The sequence below is a fragment of the Homo sapiens genome, chromosome 3, assembly GCF_000001405.40.
Source record: "Homo sapiens chromosome 3, GRCh38.p14 Primary Assembly".
Lineage (NCBI taxonomy): Eukaryota > Metazoa > Chordata > Mammalia > Primates > Hominidae > Homo > Homo sapiens.
In genome coordinates this window covers 183,165,250-183,191,478 of record NC_000003.12, presented here as the reverse complement: position 1 = coordinate 183,191,478, position 26,229 = coordinate 183,165,250, and the positions used below count along the sequence as shown (strand labels likewise).

Below are 26,229 nucleotides of genomic sequence, written 5' to 3'. Positions count from 1 at the left end.
TCCACTGGGGATCTTGGAAGTAGCCCCTGAGGATAAAGGGGGACTACTGTACCTGTCATTATAAAAGTGTCTAGATCCAAGGAATGTACAACAGCCAAAGTGAACCATGATGTGAGCTACAGACTTTGGGTGAATATGATATATTCAGTGTATACGTTCATCCATTGTAACAAATGTGCCTCTCTGGTGGGGGATGGTGATAGGGAGGCCATGCATGTGTGAGCACAGGGGATATATGGGAAATCTTTGTACCTTCCTCTCAGTTTTTCTGTGAACCTAAAACTGCTCTAAAAAAATAAAGTCAGCCGGGTGCGGTGGCTCACGCCTGTAATCCCAGCACTTTGGGAGGCCGAGGTGGGCGGATCACCTGAGGTCAGGAGTTGAAGACTAGCCAGGCCAACATGATGAAACTAAAAATACAAAAAATTAGCCGGGCATGGTGGTACACGCCTGTAATCCCAGCTACTCGGGAGGCTGAGGCAGGAGAATTCCTTGAACCCAGGAGGCAGAGATTGTGGTGAGTCAAGATCGCGCCATTGCACTCCAGCCTGGGCAACAAGGGCGAAACTCCTTCTCAAAAAATAAAATAAAATAAAGCCTTCTAAAAAAGTTTTTAAAATAAACCACATATACAGTATTACAGTAGAGAGTATTGACAGCCTGCCCAGACCCTCTTTATAGGCTGTTGGCCCCATGTCTCTGCTGCTGTGAGGTTAGCTGACAATGGCTCACCGTTGTGCCCTTCAGGCAGTTGCCCTCAGCTGCCCAGGGTCGTCCAGCCAGGAAATGCCTGTGAGGTTATGTCCTCCCCTAAGGGTGGCTTATGGCCCACCAATGGCTTACTGATTCAGGGTACAGAAGCCAGTCCTTCTGTCTCAAGATGGTAACCTGTGGTGCCATCCATGCTCCAGTACTGCCCAGGGGATCAGGCTGATGCTAGACTTCTGCTAAGCCCACGTCTGTGCCTGGCTTCTTCCCTGCCCTAGCTTCGGCCTTCACTGTCTTCCAGGTTTCATCTGAAAGCCGTTTTTCAATAACACATTTGCATAATCTGCTTCTGGGGAACCTGACTGAAGACCGTTAGTAGCAGGAGGGGTCCCAGAATGGATGGGATTCTGGTGTTGGCTCACTGCAGGCCAAATGGCCATGAGGACCTCATTATTGGTGTTAAGTGGCGTGTTGAGAGTCCTGGTACCTGGCCTGCTGTAGCAGTTCGATTGCTCAGACCTTCACCTGTGGTGACCTGGGATCAGATACAGGTGGATGGGGACACACCAGCTGGTGCAATGTCTCTAGCATTTGAGAGCTTTGAGGAAAATATTATCTATCAGGAAGGTAGAGTTGGGAGGCTGTTGCTAAGAGCCTCCCGTTGATGCACTGAAGGGAGAAAGTAACAGGGTCAGACTAATTATCGATTTAAAACACAGGATCAGAATCAGGGGGCCTCCCTGCCAACATTTAGCCTCTCATCTCCTACAGCAGAGGCAGACTGGGCTGGTAAAAGTGGCAGAATTTGAGAGAAGGAAGAATTCTCAGCCTAGGCGAGTCTGCCATCTGGTCATTTTGGACTCCTAGTGCCAGTAGATGAGTCATTAGATCCTGAGAGGGAAGATAAGGGACCCAAAAACTGGGAATGAGGATGTCTGGGTAAATGCCCTTGACCTCCTGGGCTGGCAGCAGTGGCCTACTTCGCCTTGTACTACAAAGTACAGCCAAGGACCAACTGTAGCAGCAGGCGGCAGCCGTAGATTTAGTTAAGTAGGATTCTTGCTGTGTTCCCTAGTGGAAGTGTCTCCCTCAGGTACTGTCCCTTGAGGAGTACCTCCTTCTGATGACCAGGACCCATTTCTCCTTCCAGTATGGTAACTGCTCTCTTTGCCTGCTGGTCTCCTGGCATGAGGACAAAGAGATAGGATTCCTCATGCCAGTAGGGCTAGGGCCTGGCTGGGGGAAGGGAAGAAGGTGAGATTCACTTAAGACGGTTCCCAGTCCCCTAAGACTATGCGGAAGCCTCAGATGAGGCATACAAGGCAATGTTTGCCCTTTCCAAGATCTGTCCCCACCTCCCTTCCTGAACCCTTTCAGAATAATAACTAGGATCAAATGACAACATGACCTGACTGGAGAAGGGGCACACAGGCCTGTGGGGGTTAACTCAAAATGTGAGAGTCTTTGAACTGTGCTTTAATGCCCCCTAAAGAAGGTGCATAGCAGAAGTCCAGTTAGTGCACTTCCTCTTAGGCACCCCAGTGCCTGCACCATGGGCTCGGAAATGGAGAAGCCTTGGTAGCAGAATTGAACCCAGCAGTGCTCGGCCCCAGCAGTGAGGGCTCCATGTCTTCAAGACTGCTCTAGCTGCTACCACTTTTAAATGTCCGACATGCCAGCAGAGGTCAGTGCTGAGCCCCCAGTTTGGTACTGTCCCTTGAGAAGACAAGTTGATTTTACCAGACCCCTTCAGGTTAGAAAGTACAGTGTGTGATCAATCATAAGCGTTGCTTTTTTTTTTTGCGATAGAGTTTCACACTTGTCGCTCAGGCTGGAGTGCAACGGCACCATCAGGGATCACTGCAACCTCCACCTCCTGGGTGCAAGTGATTCTCCTGCCTCAGCCTTCCGAGTAGCTGGGATTACAGGCTCATGCCACACCCAGCTAATTTTTGAATTTTTAGTAGAGGAGACAGGGTTTCACCATGTTGACCAGGCTGGTCTTGAACTCCTGACCTCTAGTGATCCATCCCCCTCTGCCTCCCAGAGTGCTGGGATCACAGGCATGAGCCAGCGCGCCAGGCTGTATAACACTGCTTTGATCAGGGGACTCAGTATGGCAAAAGAGAATCAGCCATAGACGTGATCACAGGACAGAGTCTTACCACTGCATTCAGAAGCTGGTGCCTGACAGAGTAGTGGGACAGCCTCTTGAGAGTGAGGCGGGGCAGCAGTTTGGACATGGCACTGCGGGGATGGAGTGCTGTCCCTCAGGATGCAGCATACAACTGAACCAATGGCTGTATTATGGTGAAGTGCCCCCAAGAGGCAGAGTATATGAATCTGGGAGCCAAGAAGTCAAATGAGTTGTGACCTTGCCCATCATGACTCTAGTGATGAACACGGGGACATTGTTTTCTCCCCATGTCTCCAACTTTAACCTCAGTGGGTCTCAACAAGGGAGATGCTTCCACTAGGGAACACAGCAAGAATCCTACTTAACTCAATCTGTGGCTGCCACCTGCCACTGCAGTTGGTCCTTGGCTGTGCTTTGTCATCATTCCCTCCTACTCATTCTAGACATCCCTCTCCCCATCAGGCACTTCTACTGGTGGCATGTATAGTGGGGGTCCTAGACTCTTATCAGGCTATGGTTCTTGGACTTGGCCATCATAGTTACAGCTGGGCATGGGAGTATTGCGAGATGTCCTAGTGGATCACCTGAGCATCAGACATGTCCCTCTCGGCCTTTGTTAAGCAGCAGCCCTACCTCCTCACCACGACTAGGACCCGTTTCTCCTTCCACTATGGTAACTGCTCTCTTTGCCTGCTGGTCTATTGACATGAGGAGAAAGGGAAAGGATTCCACGTGCCAGCTGGGATGGGGTCTGGGTAGGGGAAGGGAAGAAGGTAAGATTCAGTAAGGACCTACACAACTTCCAGATGGGACAGTCAGCAGACAGGTGGGTGTGCTGTTTACTGGCAGCTTACAGTAAAAATAAAGGGCTGGGCGCGGTGGCTCACGCCTGTAATCCCAGCACTTTGGGAGGCCGAGGCGGGAGGATCAGGAGGTCAAGAGATTGAGACCATCTTGGCCAACATGGTGAAACCCCGTCTCTACTAAAAATACAAAAATTGGCTGGGCGTGGTGGCGCATGCCTGTCGTCCCAGCTACTCGGGAGGCTGAGGCAGGAGAATCACTTGGACTCAGGAAGCGGAGGTTGCAGTGAGCTGAGATGATGCCACTGCACTCCAGCCTGGAAACAGAGCAAGACTCCATCCAAAAATAAAAAAATAATAAAATAATAAAAAAAATAAAGGTTATAAGCTAAGACTGTTTTACTGACTTGGATGGTGCTGAAAATTTTTAATTCTGAATTCACTTTGCCTCTGATTTGCAAAGTTCTGGCCATGTGAAAGACATAAAAATGAGAATAACTGTTGTACCTCAGAGCTAACAGAGGAAGAACCTGTCTGCCAGCCTTACTACAGGTCCCTCGTCGGGTACCTCAGGGTCTCCAAGGGGGCCTAGGAGCTATCCGGTATAGCACGTCATGGTTGTTTCTTTGCCAATTTTTGTGGCATTTCCTTTTGGGCCTAGATAATTTAGTTACTTTCATTATCTTTTTTTTTGTGTTATTCAAACTTATTGGGGCACTCTAGTATTTCAATGAAGAAAATAAGTTCTAGCAAACAGCCCTCTCTGGAGAGATGGTGGGTTATTTTACATATCTGACCAATTGGTTTTAACTATTTTAAGTTTCCTTTTCTGATTATTAAAGGAGTACACATGTAGAATGTCAGGAATTTAGAAAATACAGGAAAGTACAAATAAAAATACAAATCCAACATAACCAGATATAATCACCATTAATATCTTCTTGCAGACGTTGTCTATAGAAATGCATGATTTGGTCAGTTGTGGTGGCTCATGCCTGTAATCCCAACACTTTGGGAAGCCAAAGCAGGAGGATCACTTGATATCCAGGAGCTTGAGACCAGCCTGGGCAATATCGCAAGACCCCATCTCCACAAAAACTTTTGAGACGGAGTTTCACTCTTGTTGCCCAGGCTGGAGTGCAATGGCACGAACTTGGCTCACTGCAACCTCCACCTCCCAGGTTCAATTGATTCTCCTGCTTCAGTCTCCCGAGTAGCTGGGATTACAGGTGCCCACCACCACACCTCGCTAATTTTTGTGTTTTTAGTAGAGACGGCAGTTTCACCATTGTGGCCAGGCTGGTCTCAAACTCCTGACCTCAGGTGATCCGCTTGCCTCGGCCTCCCAAAGTGCTGAGATTTACAGGCATGAGCCACTGCACTGGACCTACAAAAAATTTTTTTTAAAAATTAGCTGGGCATGGTGGTGGGTGTCTGTAATCCTAGCTATTTGGCAGGCCAAGGTGAAAGGATTGCTTGAGCTCAGGAGGTTGAGGCTGCCGTAAGCCATGATTGTACCACCGCACCTCTCCTGGGCAAGAGTAAGGCCCCATTGCAAAACAAAGATATGCATGATTTTTTTTAAATGGAGCCATACTAAAATTGGGGTGACCTTATATTTTAATCTTATTGGAAATTTTCCATTAAAATTCTGATGAAATGGGCAAGGCTTTGACTGAACCAAACTAGACGTATTGGCTTGCCCTTCCCTCCTGCCACTCATCTTTGGGCTTATTCCAATCCAGAACATTTGAGGGCAGCTGGTGGCTGAGCTGGGAGGTAAAGCTAGGTTATAAAGTTTCTTTGACCTACAGCCCCTCCCTCCCCCAAGCTTCCAGCAGCTCTGAAAGTCTAAGACAGCCAGCTCAGACTGCCTTAGGAGCTGGCAGGGACTTTGACAACAGAAATGCACGGGAAAAAAAAAATGTGCCCTGAGAATGTCAACATGTGGAATCTGAAAGCAATTAATTAGATGTTCTCAAGAATGATTCACTTCCTCTTAGCCAAAGATAGGCTTGCAAATGAAATAGACGTTTCAGCTATAGACCAGCCTAAGATATCCACGTTTATACTCTGGGCCACCAAGCAAAATATTGTAACCGAGCCTAGTACCCCTGGAAACATTTTGGAACTCTCTCCTGTTGGGAGCTCTGGAGAGCTACTGGGATGGATCAGACAGAATGTGACACCATGTATTAAATCCTAGAAGACAGAGAGGGGAAATTGGTTAGCAGCACACACAACACAATGATGAAGGGCTCAAACTCAGGTCTCAAAGACCCAGCCTCAAGTGCAGCTCCATCTCTTTGGATGGATTCTATAGCCTGTCTGTGCTTAAGTTCTTTTTATCATTCATTTTACAAAATGGAGATAATACTGTACAGTCTTGCCATGAGGATTAAATGAGATGAAGCCCTTAGGCTTGCGCCTAGATCTCTGAAAGCATGGAATTGTTAGCAGTTAGTTACCCCCTGGTTCTTCCAAGTGAAAGGAAGGAAAGCCCAGGGGGTTTAGGCATTGCTTTTAAGCAGCTCACCACTTCCCACCCCCAAGTGAAAATGATATCCTTTAGTTCATGTGATAGAGATGGTCCTTAAAAAGTTGTGCATAATTGGCCAAGCGCGGTGGCTTACGCCTGTAATCCCAGCACTTTGGAAGGCCAAGGTGGGCGGATCACGTGGTCAGGAGATCGAGACCATCCTGGCCAACATGGTGAAACCCTGTCTCTACTGATATTACAAAAAAATTAGCTGGGCATGGTGGCATGCGCCTGTAGTCCCCAGCTACTCAGGAGGCTGAGGCAGGAGAATCACTTGAACCCGGGAGGCGGAGGTTGCAGTGAGCCGAGATCGTGTCACTGCACTCCAGCCTGGCAATAGAGCGAGACTCCGTCTCAAAAAAAAAAAAGAAAAAGAAAAAAAAAGTTGTGCATTGAGAAAAATCTAGTTTGAAAGACAATAAAAATAGAATTTGCCCATTTAATATCTATGGATTGAGAGCTACCGCTGAACCAGCAGGATCTACAATGGTCTCTTTGTGCCATCCACTGGACAGTAAGGGAAACACCATGATTTTGTCTTCAAAGTCTATAATTTACCAAAAATATGTATGCTGGTGAGAATAATTTCAGCTCATTACTAGGTTCACTTGTTAATAAATTTCATTCCATTTGTTTAAGCAAAATAAAAAAGCTTAGAATTCTAAGCACTAAATGTGAACACTAGATTTCCTAAACCATTCAGCTTATCTGATATGCACCAGAAAGATTGTCGACTAAGGGTTTCAAAAGAGAATACTCTCACCAGTCCTTATCTGCAGGAATTCTCATCGCCCACCTTTCCCATTCTTGTCCTTCTCCACCAATACTCCTTATGCTTATCTGATACATAGACTGAGAGTGCCCCAGAGACTCAGGGTGTATCTGCTCCAACACACCACTAGATCTTGGCTGGGACAAAAGTCGTTCCATTCATTTTCCAAGAATACAACTATCACTTAGAATTTTGCTATAATCAGCTGGGCATGGTGGCTCACGCCTGTAATCTCACACTTTGGGAGGCCAAGGCAGGTGGATCACCTGAGATCAAGAGTTCGAGACCAGCCTGACCAATATGGTGAAACCCTGTCTCTACTAAAAATACAAAAATTAGCCAGGCATAGTGGCATGTGCCTGTAGTCCCAGCTACTCTGGAGGCTGAGACAGGAGAATTGCTTGAACCCGGGAGAAGGAGGTTGCTGTGAGCCAAGATCACGCCACTGCACTCCAGCCTGGGCGACAGAGCGAGACCCCTGTCTCAAAAACAAACAAAAAAACAAAACAAAACAAAACAGTTTTGCTATAATCAGATTGAATATTTGTCAAGAGCCTGTGTGTTTGGCATGGTTTTTCTGAGGGGTGTGTGTGTGTGTGTGTTTGCTCTGTTTCTTTTTAAAGCCATTTATTATCCTTATAATGTTTCTTTCCCTGAGTGTTTATGAGGATGAGACAATGGCAGACAAACCTCCCTGAAATGTAAGTAATAATAGCACACCTGGAGTGCCCAGAGCTGTTTTGAGACCCTCTCTTTAGTATTATTGTAATTGCTATACACAATAATCATAACAGGTACTATTTGTTGAATTCCTATGATGTACCAGGCATTTTTCTTTATCAGAAGATTTGCTAATCCTCATACCAAGACTGCAAAATCGATGTTATTATCTCCATTTTAGAGATAAGGAAGCTGATGCTCAAGAGGTTAAGTGATGTATCCAAGATCACACAGCTAGTGAGTGACAGAGTGAGAATCAGGTCTGACTGCCCTCAGGTCTGACTGACTCCAGAGCACCTTCTCCTGCCATGGGGCAATGGGCCTCTCAGTTGTTCCCTCACATGCCTGTGACTGGCCAGATCCTGAGTCTGAGATTTTGGGGTCCCCTCAGTGCTGCCAGCTCCTTAGTGCCTAAGACTCTTAGGGCCTCAGAGCCCATGACCAGTGAATCCAGCAGGGGATTAAATATGCAGATGATGTAAGACAGCAAAAGTCAGCCCAGGAGGTGGGCATGATGGCTCACATCTGTAATCCCAGCACTGTGGGAGGCTGAGGTGGGCAGATCAGTTGAGCTCAGGAGTTCAAGACCAGCCTGGCCAACATGGTAAAACCCCATCTCTACCAAAAAATACAAAAATTAGCTGGGTGTGGTGGCATGTGCCTGTGGTCCCAGCTACTCAGGAGGCTGATGTGGGAGGATCAGTTCAACCCAGGAAGTCAAGGCTGCAGTGAGCCGTGATCACACAACTGCACTCCAACCTGGGTGACAAGCCAGACTCTGTCTCCAAAATAAATAAATAAAAGCCCAGGGCTGGGACTGGAAGGCCTGGGTGAGGAAGGGAACATGATCTCTAGGAGTCAGGACACCCCGGTCCTGGCCCTGACTCAGCTCCCACAGGGCCTTAAGCCAGTCCCCACAAGGCACACAGCCTGGTGGTCAATTACCATCCCTGGCGGGGCACCCTGTGAGCCGCACTTTCCTCCGCAGAGAACCAGGGGCTTTGCCTGCAGGATGCTCTCTAAGGTTTTCTGGTTCTGAGAATTCTGAGTTTCTTCCAGGAGCCCTGGGGGATACCTGGTGAATAGGTTACTGTCTCTGCTGGCAGGAACCCGGGGCCTGGAGGGAGACAGGCGAGGGCACACCCAGAGCAGCTGCAGTTTGTCTCAGGAGAGACGTGTCACCCAAGGGCTTGGATGAGACTCCCCCACCTCCGCAGCCCCCCCTCCTGCTTTGTCTCCTAGGATAGAACAAAGCATGATAGGATGAGGTGGGACAGATGAGGACTTCACACACTCTAAGGGTAAATATTGTTCCGTCCGCTTGTGTTTGAATTGTATAAATGTGTTTCTGCGTGTATGCTGTGTTAGGGGGTAAAATTTGCATCTCCCTGAGGTTGCACTCTAAGGTGTATGGAAAACCTGGCTCTAGACTAAACCAGGCCCCCCGTGGTGCTCCAGGCATCCCCACCCTCACCTGTGGCACCCGGAGCTCCTGCTGTCACTGGCCCAGGTGGGTCCTGTGTCTTTCTCTGCGTTGTCAGGGCCTGCGCTGACAGTCCCCCACAGGGAGGTGGAATCTGGGGTTGACAGCACTGGGAGGATCCTTCCTCTTTCCACGTTCAGGCAAATCCTCGCCTGGAGGCAGGGAATGGGCTAGAGGAAACAGTTGACTGTTTCAGATGACCCTGAAACAGTTGAGTCCAGGGTCTGAGAGCCCCTCTGTGCCCAGCGCTGTGCCCCCTTCCCTTCCCCGCTTCCCTGCAGGGCCCGCGAGAGCAGGGAAAGCAGCTGCCAGCTCCAGGCAGTCATTTTACCCCAGGTGCCACTTACCCTGCAGAGGGGCTGGAACCAACTAATCATTTTACCTGGAGGTACCACTTACCCTGCGGAGGGGCTAGAGCTTGTCAGGTTTTTCAGTTCCTGTGTCGCCTCCCAGCCCTGCCCACCCCAGGCTGTGGCTGCCTATGGCTGACGAAGGCTCCTGAGCCAGGCCCAACCGCCAGCCTCCCAGTGGGTGGCTCTATGGTCCCTAGCAGCCCTGGCATCATCCGGGGCACAGAGGCCATGGACCCTGGAGACACAGCCCTTCCTATTCATGCAGGGGATGGTCAAGGGCATGGCTCCCTCTGTCCCTCTATCCCTCCATCACAGAACTTTCAGCAAGACAATCATTCTTCCATTCTCACTGCTTGCTCCTGGCATAAGGGGACCCCAGGGCTGGATGACTTCTCTAAAGAGGAGTCTTGGGTTTCCTTAGATGCTCCCAAGTCCTGTCTGGAGGATGAAGGCAGGGGGCACATCCCTGAGGCAGTTTCTCCTCTGCCCTCCACCCCTTGCCCCTCCCACCTCCTGGGACTAGGAACTCAACCAGGACTTGCTTCAACCTGAGAGGAGGGTGTCCAGCCCCCTCGGAGCCTGCCAGAGTCAGGCAGGATTTCAGAGGGGCCTCCAGGGAGGTGCTGCCCAGCTGCCCCCCCGCCCCCATGTTACTCACACAGCCCCCACTGATCTGCTCTGGGGAGGGCCTGGGGCCCAGAACGTGGCTTGTTGGGGGCTTGGGGCAGCAGCCCAGGAGACGCTACTTGTGCTGCCTGCTCACCCAGATAACTGCAGCTCCCTCCACTGCCGCCTACCGCCCTCTGGCCATGCCTCTGCCCAGAATGCCCTCCCTCTCCAGTCCTGTCTGCCCCTCAAGTCCTGCCCAAACCTCCCTGAATTCTCGCCTGAGCAGACACTTTCCTAGCACGGCTCCCGCCGCGTAGACTACTCAGCTGACCCTCGGTCTGGGGCTGTCCTGTGTTGGGACCTTTCTGCAGATGCTCTGCTCCCTACCCTGGCTTGTGAGCCATGTGGGGCAGAGACTCCATCTCACTCAGAGCGAGGGTAAAGAGCAGGAGTGCTGGAGAAGACAGCTGCCCTGCCACAGGCCAAGAGGACTTGGCCAAGTGACCATTGCTGTCTGTTTCCCCAACTGTAAAGGGGGCTGAGACCCTTACAGGGTTGTGAGGCTTAAACTTTGACAAATGCCTAACATACCACCAGGCACAGGGCAGTTGTTCAGTATTTGGCAGTGGCTGCTGTTCCCCACAGTGTCCAACACCGCCCCAGGGATGTAACATGTGCGCCATAGACAAGACTGATGGATTAATTAATCAGTTCACTGCAGAGAGAGGCAGGATGGATGCACTTGCTTGTTCCTCTGATTTTCCCTTATGGGGAGCAGTGACACTTGGCAGAGGCTGCCAGGGAGATGGGAAATGGACATTAATTAGGGGAGAGAAAAGGAGGCAAGGAGGGGAGGGTGAGAAAGAGACAGGGGAGGAGGAAGGGAAGGAGGCGTGGTTAGAAGACTGGCAAACACAAAAAACAATGACTGTTTTCTTGGAGGAACGGGGAGGTAGGGCCATGAACAGCATGTGGACGCGCCTTCTCGGTGAATTACGGCATCTCGGCGCTGGAAAAGCAGCCTGGAGATCACAGACCCCCTCACAGCCCAGCGCAGTGCAGGCCCTTGGAGAGCAGGAGTTAGAGATGGGGAGGACCGTGCCTGCAACAGGCACTGCCTGCTACACCCTGCCATGGGCAGAGGGGATGTCCTCCCACCCCACAGAGGCCCCATCCTTCCCTTTCTCTCCCTAAGGCTGCTCCAGCAGGGAGTTTAGCTCCATGGACACCTTTGAAGACTGTGAAGGCGCAGAAGACATGGAAAAGGAGAGCAGTGCTCTGAGTGTAATTACTTCCCTTTTGTTTCTTTCATCTTCTTCCCTCCTTCCTATTCATCAGCTCCTCCTGCCTCCTGTCCCTAGCCTCCATCCCTCTCCCCCTCCTCAGGATTCTCACCCATAAGGACCTGGTTAAGCCAGGGAGCCGAGGTCACCAGACCCTCAAACTGGCTCTGACCCTCCTAGTCCAGCATGTCCCCACGTGGCTGTCTCCTTGGCGGTGCGCTGGTGTCCGGTCATAACTGGGGCTCCCGCTGAGAGCCCCGTGGCCCAGGTGGGAGGGCTGGGGTGGGCCTCAGCCTGCCAGCGGGAGTCACCACCTTGCCCGGTCTGGCCACAGCCTCCAGCAATAACTCTGAGGGTGCACCCGTCCCCTCCCTTCCAGCTCGCGGGCCTTTTCCAGTCGGACGACAGTCACGAAACCTGTTCCTCCAAATCTGCTTTCCTGGAGAGGGGAGAAAGCAGCCAGGGAGAAAAAGAAGAACGCGATGAGGAGGAAACGTGAGTGTGAGCGAGGAAAGACTAAGCGCCTCTTTGGGCCACGGCGTCTCTGACTTTCTTCTCGGAATTGCAGGGCGACCCGCAGCACCGAGGAGGAGCGCGCTGGGGCGTCCACGGGCCGGCTGGCTCCTGCGGGGGCGACGGCTGGTTTCCAGGCGAGGGCGCTGCGCCCGAGGACCTCCGCCCAGGAGAGCTGACCTCCCTGCGGACGCCCCCGCTCCTCGGCTCCAGAGCGCCCGCATTCCCGGGAGAGGCGGTGTGGGGGCCCGGGCCCTGCCCAGCTACGCAGAAAGCAGCCGGAGCCTCGGCGGCGGCAGAAAGGGGACAACCAGGGCCTCCTCCGAGGAGCCCGAGGGGTGTCCTGGGTGCGCGCCTAGCTCCGCACGGGGGACCTCGGAGCTGCTCTAAGGCGCCTGCAGAGGCGAGCAGAGCCCGCAGCCCACGCCTTCTCGACCGCGCACTTCGATATTCGGAGCCGGGCAATTCTTTGCTGCGTGGGCTTCTCTGTGCTCCCACGGTAGGATGTTTAGTAGCACCCCTGGCCTCTACCCACTAGGTGCCAGGAATGCGCCACCCCATCCTCCACCCCGCCCCCAAATCGTGACAATCAAAAATGCCTGCAGACACGCCCGCATTTCTCCAGGGCGGGGTGGGAATCGGTTGAGAGCCGCTTAGCCCGAGCCTTGGAGGAGCCGGAGCCGCTCCAACCCGGCGGGGGCCGCAGACTGGGAGCTCCCGGTCCGCCTCCCAGCATCCCTGCGAGCGTTCATGGGGTGTTCGTGTTAGTGCCAAGATTGCTTCGTTGTAGAGAGAGTTCGTTCCAAGTTACTTTCTGAGGTATTTTATGTATCGATTTATTAGTTTTTAAATGAGTTTTGTTAGTTTCAGTTGTATTTTATTTTTAGTTTTATTAGTTGATTTTCATTTCTTTGTAGCTTTCTGGTTATTTAATTTTATAGTTTCAGTTACTGGTTTATAGTTACTTTATTTTCAAAGTTATTTAGTTGTTCATTTTCAGTTATTTATATGTAGTTGTTTTGTTTTAGGAGTTACAGATGTTCAAATTAATTTGCTTGGAATTTATTTATTTATTTATTTATTTATTTTTCGAGACGGAGTCTCGCTCTGTCGCCCAGGCTGGAGTGCAGTGGTGTGATCTCGGCTCACTGCAAACCGCCTCCCGGGTTCACGCCATTCTCCTGCCTCAGCCTCCTGAGTAGCTGGGACTACAGGCGCCCGCCACCACGCCCGGCTAATTTTTTATTTGGATTTTTAGTAGAGACGGGGTTTCCCCGTGTTAGCCAGGATGGTCTCGATCTCCTGACCTCGTGATCCCCCTGCCTCGGCCTCCCAAAGTGCTGGGATTACAGGCGTGAGCCACCGCGCCCAGCCGGAATTTATTTTTAATTATCTTTACAATTATTATCTGAGTTATTTACCTTCATAGTTATTTCACTTTATCTTATTGGAGTTTTTGAGTTATTTATTTTTACAGTAACTTATTTGACTATTAAACACTCACTGGAAGTTCATGAACTACTGTCAAGTTATTTATTTTCAGAGTGAAATGTTTTAATGAAGGGTTTCCCCTAGTTATCTGGTTTTCGAGTTGCTTATGTTCACAGGTATTTATTTTCAGTTATTTTATATTTGAGTTGTTTATTTTTATGTTCTTTTTTTCAAGTTACTTGGTTTTTAGTTATTTCATTTTCAGCATTACTTCATATTTGAACATTATATTTTCTGAATTTTTAAAGAGTTTTTGAGGTATTTAGTTTTTGAGCTATTTTCAGAGTTATTTATTCTCAGTTATTTCTTTTCAGCTTTGTATTTGCCATTCAAATTTTTTTTCTGTTCTTTATTTAATTGTCAGATTTTTTTTTCTTTTTTTTTTTTTTTGAGATGGAGTTTTGCTCTTGTCACCCAGGCTGGAGTGAAGTGCCGCAATCTTGGCTCACTGCAACCTCCGCCTCCCGGGTTCAAGCAATTCTCCTACCTCAGCCTCCCAAGTAGTTGAGATTACAGGCACCTGCCACCATGCCCGGCTAATTTGTTGTTGTTGTTGTTGAGACGGAGTCTCTCTCTGTCACCCAGGCTGGAGTGCAGTGGTGCAATCTCGGCTCACTGCAAGCTCCACCTCCCGGGTTCACGCTATTCTCCTGTCTCAGCCTCCTGAATAGCTGGGACTACAGGCATCTGCCACCACGCCTGGCTAATTTTGTTTTGTATTTTTTTTTTTTTTTAAGTAAAGATGAGGTTTCACCATGTTAGCCAGGATGGTCTGGATCTCCTGACCGGGTTTCGCCATGTTTGCCAGGCTGGTCTCCAACTCCTGACCTCAGGTGATCCATTCGCGTTGGCCTCCCAAAGTGCTGGGATTACAGGTGTGAGCCACCACACCCGGCCCTCAGAATTATTTAGAGTTAGAATTCTTAGTCTACTAGTCAAGTTTCAATCAAGAGACACTGTATCAGTTATTTCAAGAGAGAATTTAATATAAATAATTGTTATCCAGCTAGTAGAGATTTAAAAAAAAGTAGTGATAATGAGATATCATGAAGATTTTGACTGCAAGCTCCCAGCCCAAGGACTCATACAACAAAGAAAAGAGGTTGAAAATATCAAAACTCAGAAATATGAAGGTGGCCCTAGGGCTGGGGGTTAGTCCTCTGAGGAGGAGGCACTATTAATTGTACACGTGGCCCAAGGGCTCAGAGCTCAAGGTCCAGGAGCTGGACGCAGAATTCTGGAGAGGGGACATGGCCAGCCCGTGCTGCTGTCTCTGAATGGGCATCAGCAGGCTGGTTATAGGAGTGCTAGGAAAATGGCAAGCTGGAACCAACTCCCGCTACTGGAACCAGCTGTCACTCTCAGGGTGGAGACAGGATGCTGACAGTGGGGGTGGGGTGGGGTGCACACAGGAAGGAGCCCATGGTGACCCTGCACCCCAGAGCTGGGAAGGGTGGGCTGGAAGCTTAATTACCAGCACACTCAGCTTTAGAGTTACATAGAGTTATGTTAGGATTCCGTTAGTTTTGGAATTGTCAGGGGTGATTTGATTTCACATTTTCATGGGATATGGGATTGGGATGAGTCTTCAGTCTCCTGGTTTGTTTCTGGAATAGAGTGGGCCACACCTCCCAGGAGTCTCCCCCAGGGAACTCAAGACAATCACTTTAGAATTCAAGAAAACAAAAATAATGTGTCTCACTTCGTTCATAAAGAAGGCCTTTGACAACGTGGCCAAAAAGGGGCAGAGCCTAAGGGACAGACTCTTAGAAAGATGCCCTTGGAACAGGGTCCCGCAGAGTGTTCCTCTCAAATTCTTTAGAACTTTACACTGTTTTGTGGGGCCACCCTCTCCCACGCCCTTTCCTAACAACAGTGTCTTTCTTGATAGAGTATGTTTCAAATTTGTAGACTGTTTGCACAATAAAATAAAGTTCCTCCCAAATCAAGAATCTGTAATCTTAGGTTCTTCTACCTGCATTATTCTTCAGCCCACATTGTTCCATTTGACCATCAGAATGTTTACATATGTATATATGTCTGGATGGATGGAAGGATGGATGGATGGATGGATGGATACACTTATTTTATTCAATATCTATTTCCTGAGCATTCCCCTGCCCTGAGGATGGTTCTGGCACCAGGTAGAGACCAGGGAGGTATGAAGATGAGTGAGGCTCTCATTCCAGTGGGGGAGACAGATGTGGAAAAATAATCACAACACAATGTGGCAAATTCTCTGGGAGCATAAAACACCATCACTGACTCTTCCTGATACCGTCAGGAAGGGGTGACATTAGAACTGGGTCTTACTGGCAAGTGTTCTTCTCCTGGTGGAGAAGGAGAAGGGCATCCTGGCAGAGGGAATAGCATGAGCTCAGGTACAGGGGCACAGAGGAGCTGTGCATGGCAGGTAGGACGAGTTGATGGAGGCTGCTGGGTCACAGGGTTCAGAAAGGCACTAAGCTTAAGAGCTGGCCCTGGTGCTTGACAGATCCTGCTTCATTTGGTCCTGCAGCAAGTCTGCAAGATAGTAGGGAGCAACCTCAGGAGTCCCATGCTTCTCCTGACCTTACTTTTCCAAACACAGTTTACATTTCTGGATATCTTAAGCTCCTTCTTGATTTTATCCATCTCCCACTTTTCACGTGTCCATCGGAGGTGAGTTGCCCCCTCTCCTTCACCTTTTGATTCCTGCTGCTTACACATCTGTAGGGATGGAGGAGGGTTGAGACCAGAAAGCTGTGAAGTGCAGACTTCCTCTGACAAGGGAGGTGGAGGAGAGCAGGGCAGAGACCTGCTTGTGGGAATGGCATGCAGAAGTTCTGCAGACCAGCACAGTGGGGAATGGGCTCCGGACATCACCAGCTGTGACTGCCTCCAGCTGCATTCAGCAACCATGGAAAGGTCGTGGGGATGCCTTTCCAAAAGTGGGAGGCTGCTTTAGATCCAACCCAGGCTTATGAATGCAACAGATTGGGATTTTTTAAAGCACGTAGAGCCCTTTGCAGCATTAACAGCAATAAACATGCCTCCCAAGTCAAAAGAAAATATAGTCCTAAGACTATACTTTCAGGGATCATTTCTATAGTTCGTCACTAGAGAAGTTTCTCTGAACGTGTAGAGCACTGATGCAGCCAAAAAACACATGAAAAAATGCTCATCATCACTGGCCATCAGAGAAATGCAAATCAAAACCACAGTGAGATACCATCTCACACCAGTTAGAATGGCAATCATTAAAAAGTCAGGAAACAACAGGTGCTGGAGAGGATGTGGAGAAATAGGAACACTTTTACACTGTTGGTGGGACTGTAAACTAGTTCAACCATTGTGGAAGTCAGTGTGGCGATTCCTCAGGGATCTAGAACTAGAAATACCATTTGACCCAGCCATCCCATTACTGGGTATATACCCAAAGGACTATAAATCATGCTGCTATAAAGACACATGCACACGTATGTTTATTGTGGCACTATTCACAATAGCAAAGACTTGGAACCAACCCAAATGTCCAACAATGATAGACTGGATTAAGAAAATGTGGCACATATACACCATGGAATACTATGCAGCCATAAAAAATGGTGAGTTCATGTCCTTTGTAGGGACATGGATGAAATTGGAAATCATCATTCTCAGTAAACTATTGCAAGGACAAAAAACAAAACACCACATATTCTCACTCATAGGTGGGAATTGAACAATGAGAACACATGGACACAGGAAGGGGAACATCCCATTCTGGGGACTGTTGTGGGGTGGGGGAAGGGGGGAGGGATAGCATTAGGAGATATACCTAATGCTAAATGACGAGTTAATGGGTGCAGCACACCAGCATGGCACATGTATACATATGTAACTAACCTGCACATTGTGCACATGTACCCTAAAACTTAAAGTATAATAATAATAAATTAAAAAAAAAGAAAATATAGTCCTACACAATCTGTTACAATGGTGGTGTATTTTTACACTTTTTATAATACACATCTATGCATTCAGTCTTGACGTGTGTGTGTGTGTGTGTGTGTGTGTGTGTGTTTCTCAGTCAACTTCTCTGCTTACAGTGTCTATCACAATATATCCATTTCCCTATGAGAATCCATTTCTCTGTGAGAACATGTAAGAACTTCAGATGGTCTCTCATCTTAGCTGAACAGAAGAGTCTGTTGGGTTCTGACCACTTGCCTCAGGAAACACATCACTTGTATCCTCTCAAACATTTGACTGTTGAATAGCCAGCCACTCACTATGGAAACACCCCCCAAAGCATTCTCAATCCTTTGGATCTCGGCCCTTTTCTGGATCTATGAGGATGTCCATACTTAATAATTCTAGCAGAATGCAAATTGGCCAAACCTCACAAGCCTCATAGGAAGACCCTGTTTGCAAATGTCTTGCCACAGGTGGGTGACCAGGGGAGTCATTCCAATACCAGTCATTGCTGGAGGTTCCTGGGGTATTGTCCTCCAGTGATCCAGGATGGTCCAATATGACCTTTCACTCCAGCCTCCTTGTCAAAGCCCCAAGCTGCTGCTCTGCTTGCTGGTGTCGTCTGGGAAAAAGCTACCCTTTGGGGCTCAGAGACTCAGACTCCCCACTGAGCCCATGGTGGGCTGCAGGGTGGGACAGGAATCATGGGATAATTCTCATAAAATTGTGCCAGGTACACCGTCTGTTCCCAGTGGACACGACATTCCCTATTCTACACCTGGACACACTGCTCATTCAGGAAATAGTTGTGCATTTTTAGACTTCTTAAAAACAGGGGAAAAAAGAGTGGCTTTTCTGTGAGTGACATTTGTGTCACCTTGTTTAAGTATAAATGGAAAAGAATCCAAAACCACCAGATAAAATCCCTCAGACTTAGAAGTTGTTCAGATCCTCCGTGGCTATATGATGTTGCCTGTTGTCCACCAGAGGAACTTAGATTTCAAAATACTGCTGACAATTGGGAATGCTGTGACCTCAGATTAAAGTGCCCTGGCTGAAGCATTAGAACTAAAAGCAGACCCAGATCTGTAAAATCTGATGGGAGTCTGAGTTCATGTTAAACATCAGCCATGCATTATGAAATATTAGAAAAGTTAGAGATCCTCTAAACCAGCCTTCCCAGAGTATACTTTGCAGAATATGCAGAAGAGTGTAAGAGCTTTTTTTTTTTTTGAATGAAGTCTCGCTCTGTTGCCAGGCTGGAGTGCAGTGGCATGATCTTGGCTCACTGCAACCTCTGCCTCCTGGGTTCAAGTGATTCTTCTGCTTCAGCCTCCCCGGTAGCTGGGATTACAGGCATGTAAGGAAGCATCCTTCCTGGCATAGACCTGGGGGTGAGGAATATCAGTTGCTACAAGAAAGACACAAAACCATGCTCAGATGCTATTGGCCCATCTCTCCTACAAAGGCCTTAAAAGCCTGGAGGAAGGGTAACAAATACTGACGCTCCTAGGGGGCTGGTAAATCCAACACAGATGGAGAAAAAGGAACAAAAACTTGAAAAACAAAACAACAACAACAAAAAACCCTCTGATTCTGGGGAAGGGGCAGGAATATGTGCTGAGCCCAAAACTACTGCTGCGGGGAGGGACAGAGAGGCTTGGTCATACCCTTCAAGGCCCAGGGACACAGTACCTGCAGGAATCAGAACTGAGAATCACAACCAAGCACCTCACCTCTCAGATCCCACCACCCCGCTAATAAGCACTGACTAACAAGTAACGATGGAATACTCCTGGGAGAGCTACAAGTGTATGGAGAGAGAAACTGACAGCAGAGAAGACCTAAAGTTGAAGGTGGAGCAGACATTAGGGAAGACCTTTGGGCAAACAAGCCCATTTCCTAAACACAAGGTAAGATTTGAAGTGCCTGGTATAACTAAGGTCACCATAGCAACAAAAATCCCAAGGATCTAAACAAAGGAATAAAGACTGCAAGAAACGGTAATCACATGAGTAAGTATAAAAGCTTTTTTCCCCATATATATTTATATATATTATATATATTTATATATTATATATTTATGTATATTATATATATTTATATATTATATATATTTATGTATATTATATATTTATATATAATATATATTTATATATTATATATTTATATATTATATATTTATATATTATATATTTATATATTATATATTTATATATTATGTATATTTATATATTATATATTTACATATTATATATTTACATATTACATATTTACATATTACATATTTACATATATTTATATATTATATATTTACATATTATATATTTATATATTATATATTTATATATTATATATATAATATATCTTATATATTTATATATTGTATATATTTATATATTATATACATATTTATATATTATGTATATTTAAAGATAATTGTTTAAATTTTAAATAAGAACAATGTGTTGTGAAGTTTCTAATTTATAAAGAATTAAAATGTGTGACAACACGGCCAGGTGTGGTGACTCACACCTGTAATCGCACTTTGGGAGACCAGAGTGGAAGGATCACGTGAAGTCAGGATTTTGAGACCAACTTGGGCGACACAGTGAGACCTTGTCTCCACAAAAAATTAGCCACACATGGTGCCACACACCTGTGGTCCCAGCTATTTGGGAGGCTGAAAGTATTCTAAGTCGAAAATGCATTAAATTTACCTAACCTTCCAAACATCATGGCATAGTATAGTCTACCTTAAATGTGCTCAGAACACCTACATTAGCCTACAGTTGGGCAAATCATCTAATACAAAGCTTGTCTTATAATAAAGCATTGAGTGCCTCATGTAATTTATTGAGTATTTTGCTAAAAATGAAAAACAGAATGGCTGTATCAGTTGTTTACCCTTGGGATTGGGTGCTGACTGGAAGCTGAGGCTTGCTGCCACTGCCCAGAATTGTGAGAGAGTATCTTGTCCCATAGCAGTAGCTTGGGAAAAGATAAAAATTCAAAGTATGCCTTCTACTGAATGCATACAGACTTCACACCATTCTAAAGTTGAAAAATCATAAGTTAAACCATCCTAAGTTGATACCATTTGTTCTTGAACCATACTATCAATTGAAGGGGTGGCCTGCCCCTCCACACCTGTGGGTATTTCTAGTCGGGTGGGATGAGAGCCGGAGAAAAGAAATAAGACACAGAGACAAAGTATAAAGAAACAACAGTGAGTCCAGGGGACCGGCACTCAGCACACCAAGGACCTGTACCGGCACCAGCCTCTGAGTTCCCTCAGTTTTTATTGATTATTATTTTCATTATTTCAGCAAAAAGGAATGTAGTAGGACAGCAGGGTGATAATAAGGAGAAGGTCAACAAAAAACATGTGAGCAAAAGAATCTGTATCATAATTAAGTTCAAGGGAAGGTACTATGCCTGGATGTGCACATAGGCCAGATTTATGTTTCTCTCCACCCAAACATCTCAGTGGAGTAAAGAATAACAAGGCAGCATTACTGCAAACATGTCTCACCTCCCACCACAGGGCAGCTTTTCTCCTATTTCAGAGTTGAACAAATGTACAATCGGGTTTTACACCAAGACATTCAGTTCCCAGGGGCAGGCAGGAGACAGTGGCCTTCCTCTATCTCAACTGTAAGAGGCTTTCCTCTTTTACCAATCCACCTCAGCACAGACCCTTTATGGGTGTTGGGCTGGGGGACAGTCAGGTCTTTCTCATCCTACGAGGCCATATTTCAGACTGTCACATGGGGAGAAACCTTGGACAATACCCCGCTTCCAAGGGCAGGGCTCCCTGCAGCTTTCCGCAGTGCATTGTGCCCCTGGTTTATTGAGACTAGAGAATGGCGATGACTTTGACCAAGTATACTGCTTGTAAACATTTTGTTAACAAGGCACGTCCTGCACAGCCCTAGATCCCTTAAACCTTGATTTTATACAACACATGTTTTTGTGAGCTCCAAGTTGGGTCAAAGTGGCTGGGGCAAAGTGGCTGGGGCAAAGCTACAAATTAACATCTCAGCAAAGCAATTGTTTGAAGTACAGGTCTTTTTCAAAATGGAGTCTCTTATGTCTTCCCTTTCTACATAGACACAGTGACAGTCTGATCTCTCTTTCTTTTCCCTACATCAATTAGTTTAACCTAATTAACATTTATAGGTCACTGAATCCAACAATGAGAGAATACACACATTCTTCTCAAGTGCACACAGAACATTTAACAGGACAGTCCACTATTATGAGTTAAATTGTGTCCCTCCAAAATTCATATGTAGAAGTCTTGATATGGTTTGGCTGTGTCCCCACCCAAATCTCAACTTGAATTGTATCTCCCAGAATTCCCATGTGTTGTGGGAGGGACCCAGGGGGAGGTAATTGAATCATGGGGGCCGGTCTTTCCCATGCTATTCTCGTGATAGTGAATAAGTCTCATGAGATCTGATGGATTTATCAGGGGTTTCCGCTTTTGCTTCTTCCTCATTTTCTCTTGTCACTACCACGTAAGAAGTGCCTTTCACCTCTCACCATGATTCTGAGGCCTCCCCAGCCATGTGGAACTGTAAGTCCAATTAAACCTATTTTTCTTCCCAGTCTCAGATATGTCTTTATCAGCAGTGTGAAAATGGACTAATACAGTAAATTGCTACCAGTAGAGTGAAACGTTGCTGAAGATACCTGAAAATGTGGAACAACTTTGGAACTGGGTAACAGGCAGAGATTGGAACAGTTTGAAGGGCTCAGAAGAAGACAGGAAAATGTGGGAAAGTTTGGAACTTCCTAGAGACTTGTTGAATGGTTTTGCCCAAAATGCTGATAGTGATATGGACAATAAGATCCAGGCTGAGGTGGTCTCAGATGGAGATGAGGAACTTTTTGGGAACTGGAGCAAAGGTGCCTCTTGTTATGTTTTAGCAAAGAGACTGGCCACATTTTGCCCCTGCCCTAGAGACTTGTGGAACTTTGAACTTGAGAGATTATTTAGGGTATCTGGTGGAAAAAATTTCTAAGCAGCAAAACATTCAAGAGGTGATTTGGGTGCTATTAAAGGCGTTCAGTTTTATAAGGGAAGCAGAGCATAAAAGTTTGGAAAATTTGCAGCCGGACTATGTGACAGAAAAGAAAAACCCATTTTCTGGGGAGAAATTCAAGCTGGTTGCAGAAATTTGCATAAGTAGCAAGAAGCCTAATGTGAATCCCCAAGACCATGGGGAAATGTCTCCAAGGCCATGTCAGAGACCTTCACAGCAGCCTCTCCCATCACAGGCTTGGAGGCCCAGGAGGAAAAAGGGGTTTTGTGGGGCAGGCCCAGGGTCCCCATGTTGTGTGCAGCCTAGTGACTTGGTGCCCTCTGTCCCAGCTGCTCCAGCCATGGCTGAAAGGGGCCAATGCATAGCTTGGGCTATGGTTCAGAGGGTGGAAGCTGTGGGGCCCTCAAGGAGAACCTCTTAGGGCAGTGCAGAAGGGAAATGTGGGATCAGAGCCCCCACACAGAGTCCCTATCGGGGCACTGCCTAGTGCAGCTGTGAGAAGAGGGCCTTTGTCCTCCAAACCCCAGAATGGTAGATCCACTGACAGCTTGCACTGGGTGCCTGGAAAAGCTGCAGACACTCAACACCAGCCCATGAAAGCAGCCTGGAGGGAGGCTGTACCCTGCAAAGCCACAGGGGTGGAGCTGCCCAAGACCATGGAAACCTACCTTTTGCATTAGCGTGACCTGGATGTAAGACCTGGAGTCAAAGGAGATCATTTTGGAGCTTTAAAATTTGACTCCCTCACTGGATTTCAGACTTGCATGGGCCCTGTAACCCCTTTGTTTTGGCCAATTTCTCCCATTTGGAATGGCTTTATTTACCCAATACCTGTACCCCCATTGTATCTAGGAACTAACTAGCTTGCTTTTGATTGTACAGGCTCATAGGCGGAAGGCCTTGTCTCAGATGAGACTTTGGACTGTGGACTTTTAGGTTAATGCTGAAATGAGTTAAGACTTTGAGGGACTATTGGAAAGGCATGATTGGTTTTGAAATGTGAGGACATGAGATTTGGAAGGACCAGGGACAGAATGATATGGTTTGGCTGTGTCCCCACTCAAATCTCAATTTTAATTGTATCTCCCAGAATCCCCACATATTGTGGGGAGGGGGGGACCAAGGAAGAGGTAATGTATTCATGGGGGCTGGTCTTTCCCGTGCTGTTCTCATGACAGTGAATAAATCTCATGATATCTGGTGGGCTTATCTATCAGGGGTTTCTGCTTTTGCTTCTTCCTCATTTTCTCTTGCCGCCACCATGTAAAAAGTCCCTTTCGCCTCCCACCATGATTCTGAGGCCTCCCCAGCCATGTGGAATTGTCCAATTAAACCTCTTTTTCTTCCCAGTCTCAGGTATGTCTTTATGAGCAGCGTGAAAATGGACTAATACAAGTCTTAACCCCAAGTATCTCAGAATGTGACTATATTCGGAGATAGGGTCTTTAAGAGGTAAAACGAGTTCAAAGAGTAGGCACTAATCCTACCTGACTAATGTCCTTATAAGAAGAGGAGATTAGGACAGACAAAGGCATGCACAGAGGGATGACCATGTGAAACAAAGGTGTCTACTAGCCAAGGAGAGAGGCCTTAGAAAGAACTAACCCGGGCCGGGTGCAGTGGCTCACGCCTGTAATCTCAGTACTTTGGGAGGCCGAGGCGGGTGTATTACCTGAGATCAGGAGTTTGAGATCAACCTGGCCAACATGGTGAAACCCCGTCTCTACTAAAAATACAAAAATTAGCCAGGTGCAGTGAGAGGCACCTGTAATCCCAGCTACTCGGGAGGCTGAGGCAGGAGAATCGCTTGAGCCTGGGAGGCAGAATTTGCAGTAAGCCGAGATCACACCACTGCATCCCAGCCTGGGTGACAGAAAGAGACTCTGTCTCAAAAAAAAAAAAAAAAAAGGAAAAAGAAAAAACCAACCCGGCTGACACTTTGATCTCACATGTCTGGTTTCCAGAATTATAAGAAAGCAAATGTCTGTGGTTTAATTACCCAGTCTGTGGCACTTTGTTATGTCAGTCCTGAAAACTAATGTAACCAACCATAGTCTTGGTCAAAAAACAAATATCAATAAATTTGTAAGATTTAAGTCCATAATTATGTTTTCAACCACAGTGGAATTAAAAATCAATAAAAGAAAGATATCTGAAAAACTATATGTTTGGAAATGAAATAATGCTATTTTAAATAACCATGAGTCGAGGAGATAGCAAAAGGAAATTAGGAAGTCTTTCTAATTATATGAAAATGAAAACATATTAAACTTGTGGGATCCAACTAAAGTAGTAATTAGAGGGACGTTCATAACAGTAAACCTGTTTATTAGAGATGAAGAAAGATTTTATACCACTGGCCTCAACTTCCATCTTTTTTTTTTTCTTTTTTTTTTTTTGAGACAGAGTCTAGCTCCTGTCACCCAGGCTGGAGTGCAGTGGCGTGATCTCAGCTCACTGTAACCTCCACCTCCCGGGTTCAAGCGATTCTCCTGCCTCAGCCTCCCGAGTAGCTGGGATCACAGGTGCCCACCACCACACCCAGCTAATTTTTGTATTTTTAGTAGAGACGGAGTTTCACCATGTTGGCCAGGCTGGTCTTGAACTCCTGACCTCAGGTGATCCTCCCACCTCAGCCTCCTAAAGTGCTGGGATATCCCAGGCAAGTTCCATCTTTGAAAACTATTGAAAGAGGAGCAAATAAAACACAAGTTAAGTAGAAGAAAGAAAATAATAAAGATCAGGTAGAAATGAATAAAACAGAAAACATAAGAACAATGAAGGAACTCGATGAAATGAAATTTTTTTTTTTTTCTTGAAAACATGAATAGAATTGATCAACCTCCAGCCAAACTTATCAGGGAAAAAAGAGAGAAAATACAAATTATTAATATTAGCAGGGAAATAAGAGAGAAAATACAAATTATTAATATTAGTAATAAAAGAAGTGACATCACTACCTATACTACAGATATTGTAAGACAAGGGATTGTTATGAAAAGCTTTATGCTAATAAATCCAACAACTTAGTTGAAATAAAAACCTTTTTTTTTCCTCTTCTTTTCTTTTTTTTAGACACAGGGTCTGGCTTTGTCACCCAGGCTAGAGTGCAGTCGCTTGATCGCAGCTCACTACAGTCTTGACCTCTCAGGCTCAAGCAATCCTCCTGCTTCAGCCTCCCAAGTAGCTGGGACTACAGGCATGTGCCACCATGCCCAGCTAATTTAAAAAATTTTTAATAGTGGCAGGGTCTCCCTGTGTTGCCCAGGCTGGACTTGAACTTCTGGCCTCAAGTGACCCTCCCACCTTGGCCTCCCAAAGTGCTTGGATTATAGGCATGAACCACTGTACCAGCCAGAAAACGTTTTTTGAAAATAATAAACTATGATACTGCGATATAATAATATATCTTTGGTCTCTGTCCCAGTTTCTAAGACAGAGCTCCTAAAATCCTTATATGCCAGAGTTCTAGGAGAATCTTTTGTTTTAATACTTGGTCTTTGACCCTGGTTCCTGAAACAGAGCTCCTAAATCCCTTGGAATTTCCAGGGTAAGAGGAGCAGCTTTATTTTATTTATTTTTTTTTTTTTGAGACGGAGTCTCCTTCTGTCGCCCGGGCTGGAGTGCAGTGGCGCGATCTCCGCTCACTGCAAGCTCCACCTCCTGGGTTCACACCATTCTCCTGCCTCAGCCTCCCGAGTAGCTGGGACTACATGCACCTGCCACCACGCCTGGCTAATTTTTTTATATTTTTAATAGAACTGGGTTTCACTGTGTTAGCCAGGATGGTCTCCATCTCCTGACCTCGTGATCCGCCCGCCTCGGCCTCCT

General features: G+C 46.7%; 1 protein-coding gene and 1 pseudogene across 3 annotated transcripts in view, besides 1 other annotated feature; both read left to right on the top strand.

Moving 5' to 3' along the window:
• The window catches only part of MCF2L2 (MCF.2 cell line derived transforming sequence-like 2), a 250,579-nt gene extending 237,141 nt beyond the window's left edge, over positions 1–13,438 (top strand). For all 3 annotated transcript variants that reach the window (NM_015078.4, XM_011512585.3, XM_047447751.1), the window contains 3 exons: positions 11,320–11,408; positions 11,787–11,902; positions 11,976–13,438. In NM_015078.4, the coding sequence (NP_055893.4) occupies positions 11,320–11,408; positions 11,787–11,902; positions 11,976–12,099 (329 nt within the window). In that variant the 3' untranslated portion in view covers positions 12,100–13,438. The remainder of the gene's footprint in view (positions 1–11,319; positions 11,409–11,786; positions 11,903–11,975) is intronic.
• Positions 12,129–12,218: a silencer, noted in NCBI's record as "silent region_14937". NCBI's record gives its function as "represses an Ori minimal core promoter by ATAC-STARR-seq in GM12878 lymphoblastoid cells {active_cell/tissue: GM12878}" and the evidence as "EXISTENCE:reporter gene assay evidence [ECO:0000049][PMID:35858748]".
• Positions 16,472–16,542, top strand: SNORD3P4 (small nucleolar RNA, C/D box 3 pseudogene 4; annotated as a pseudogene).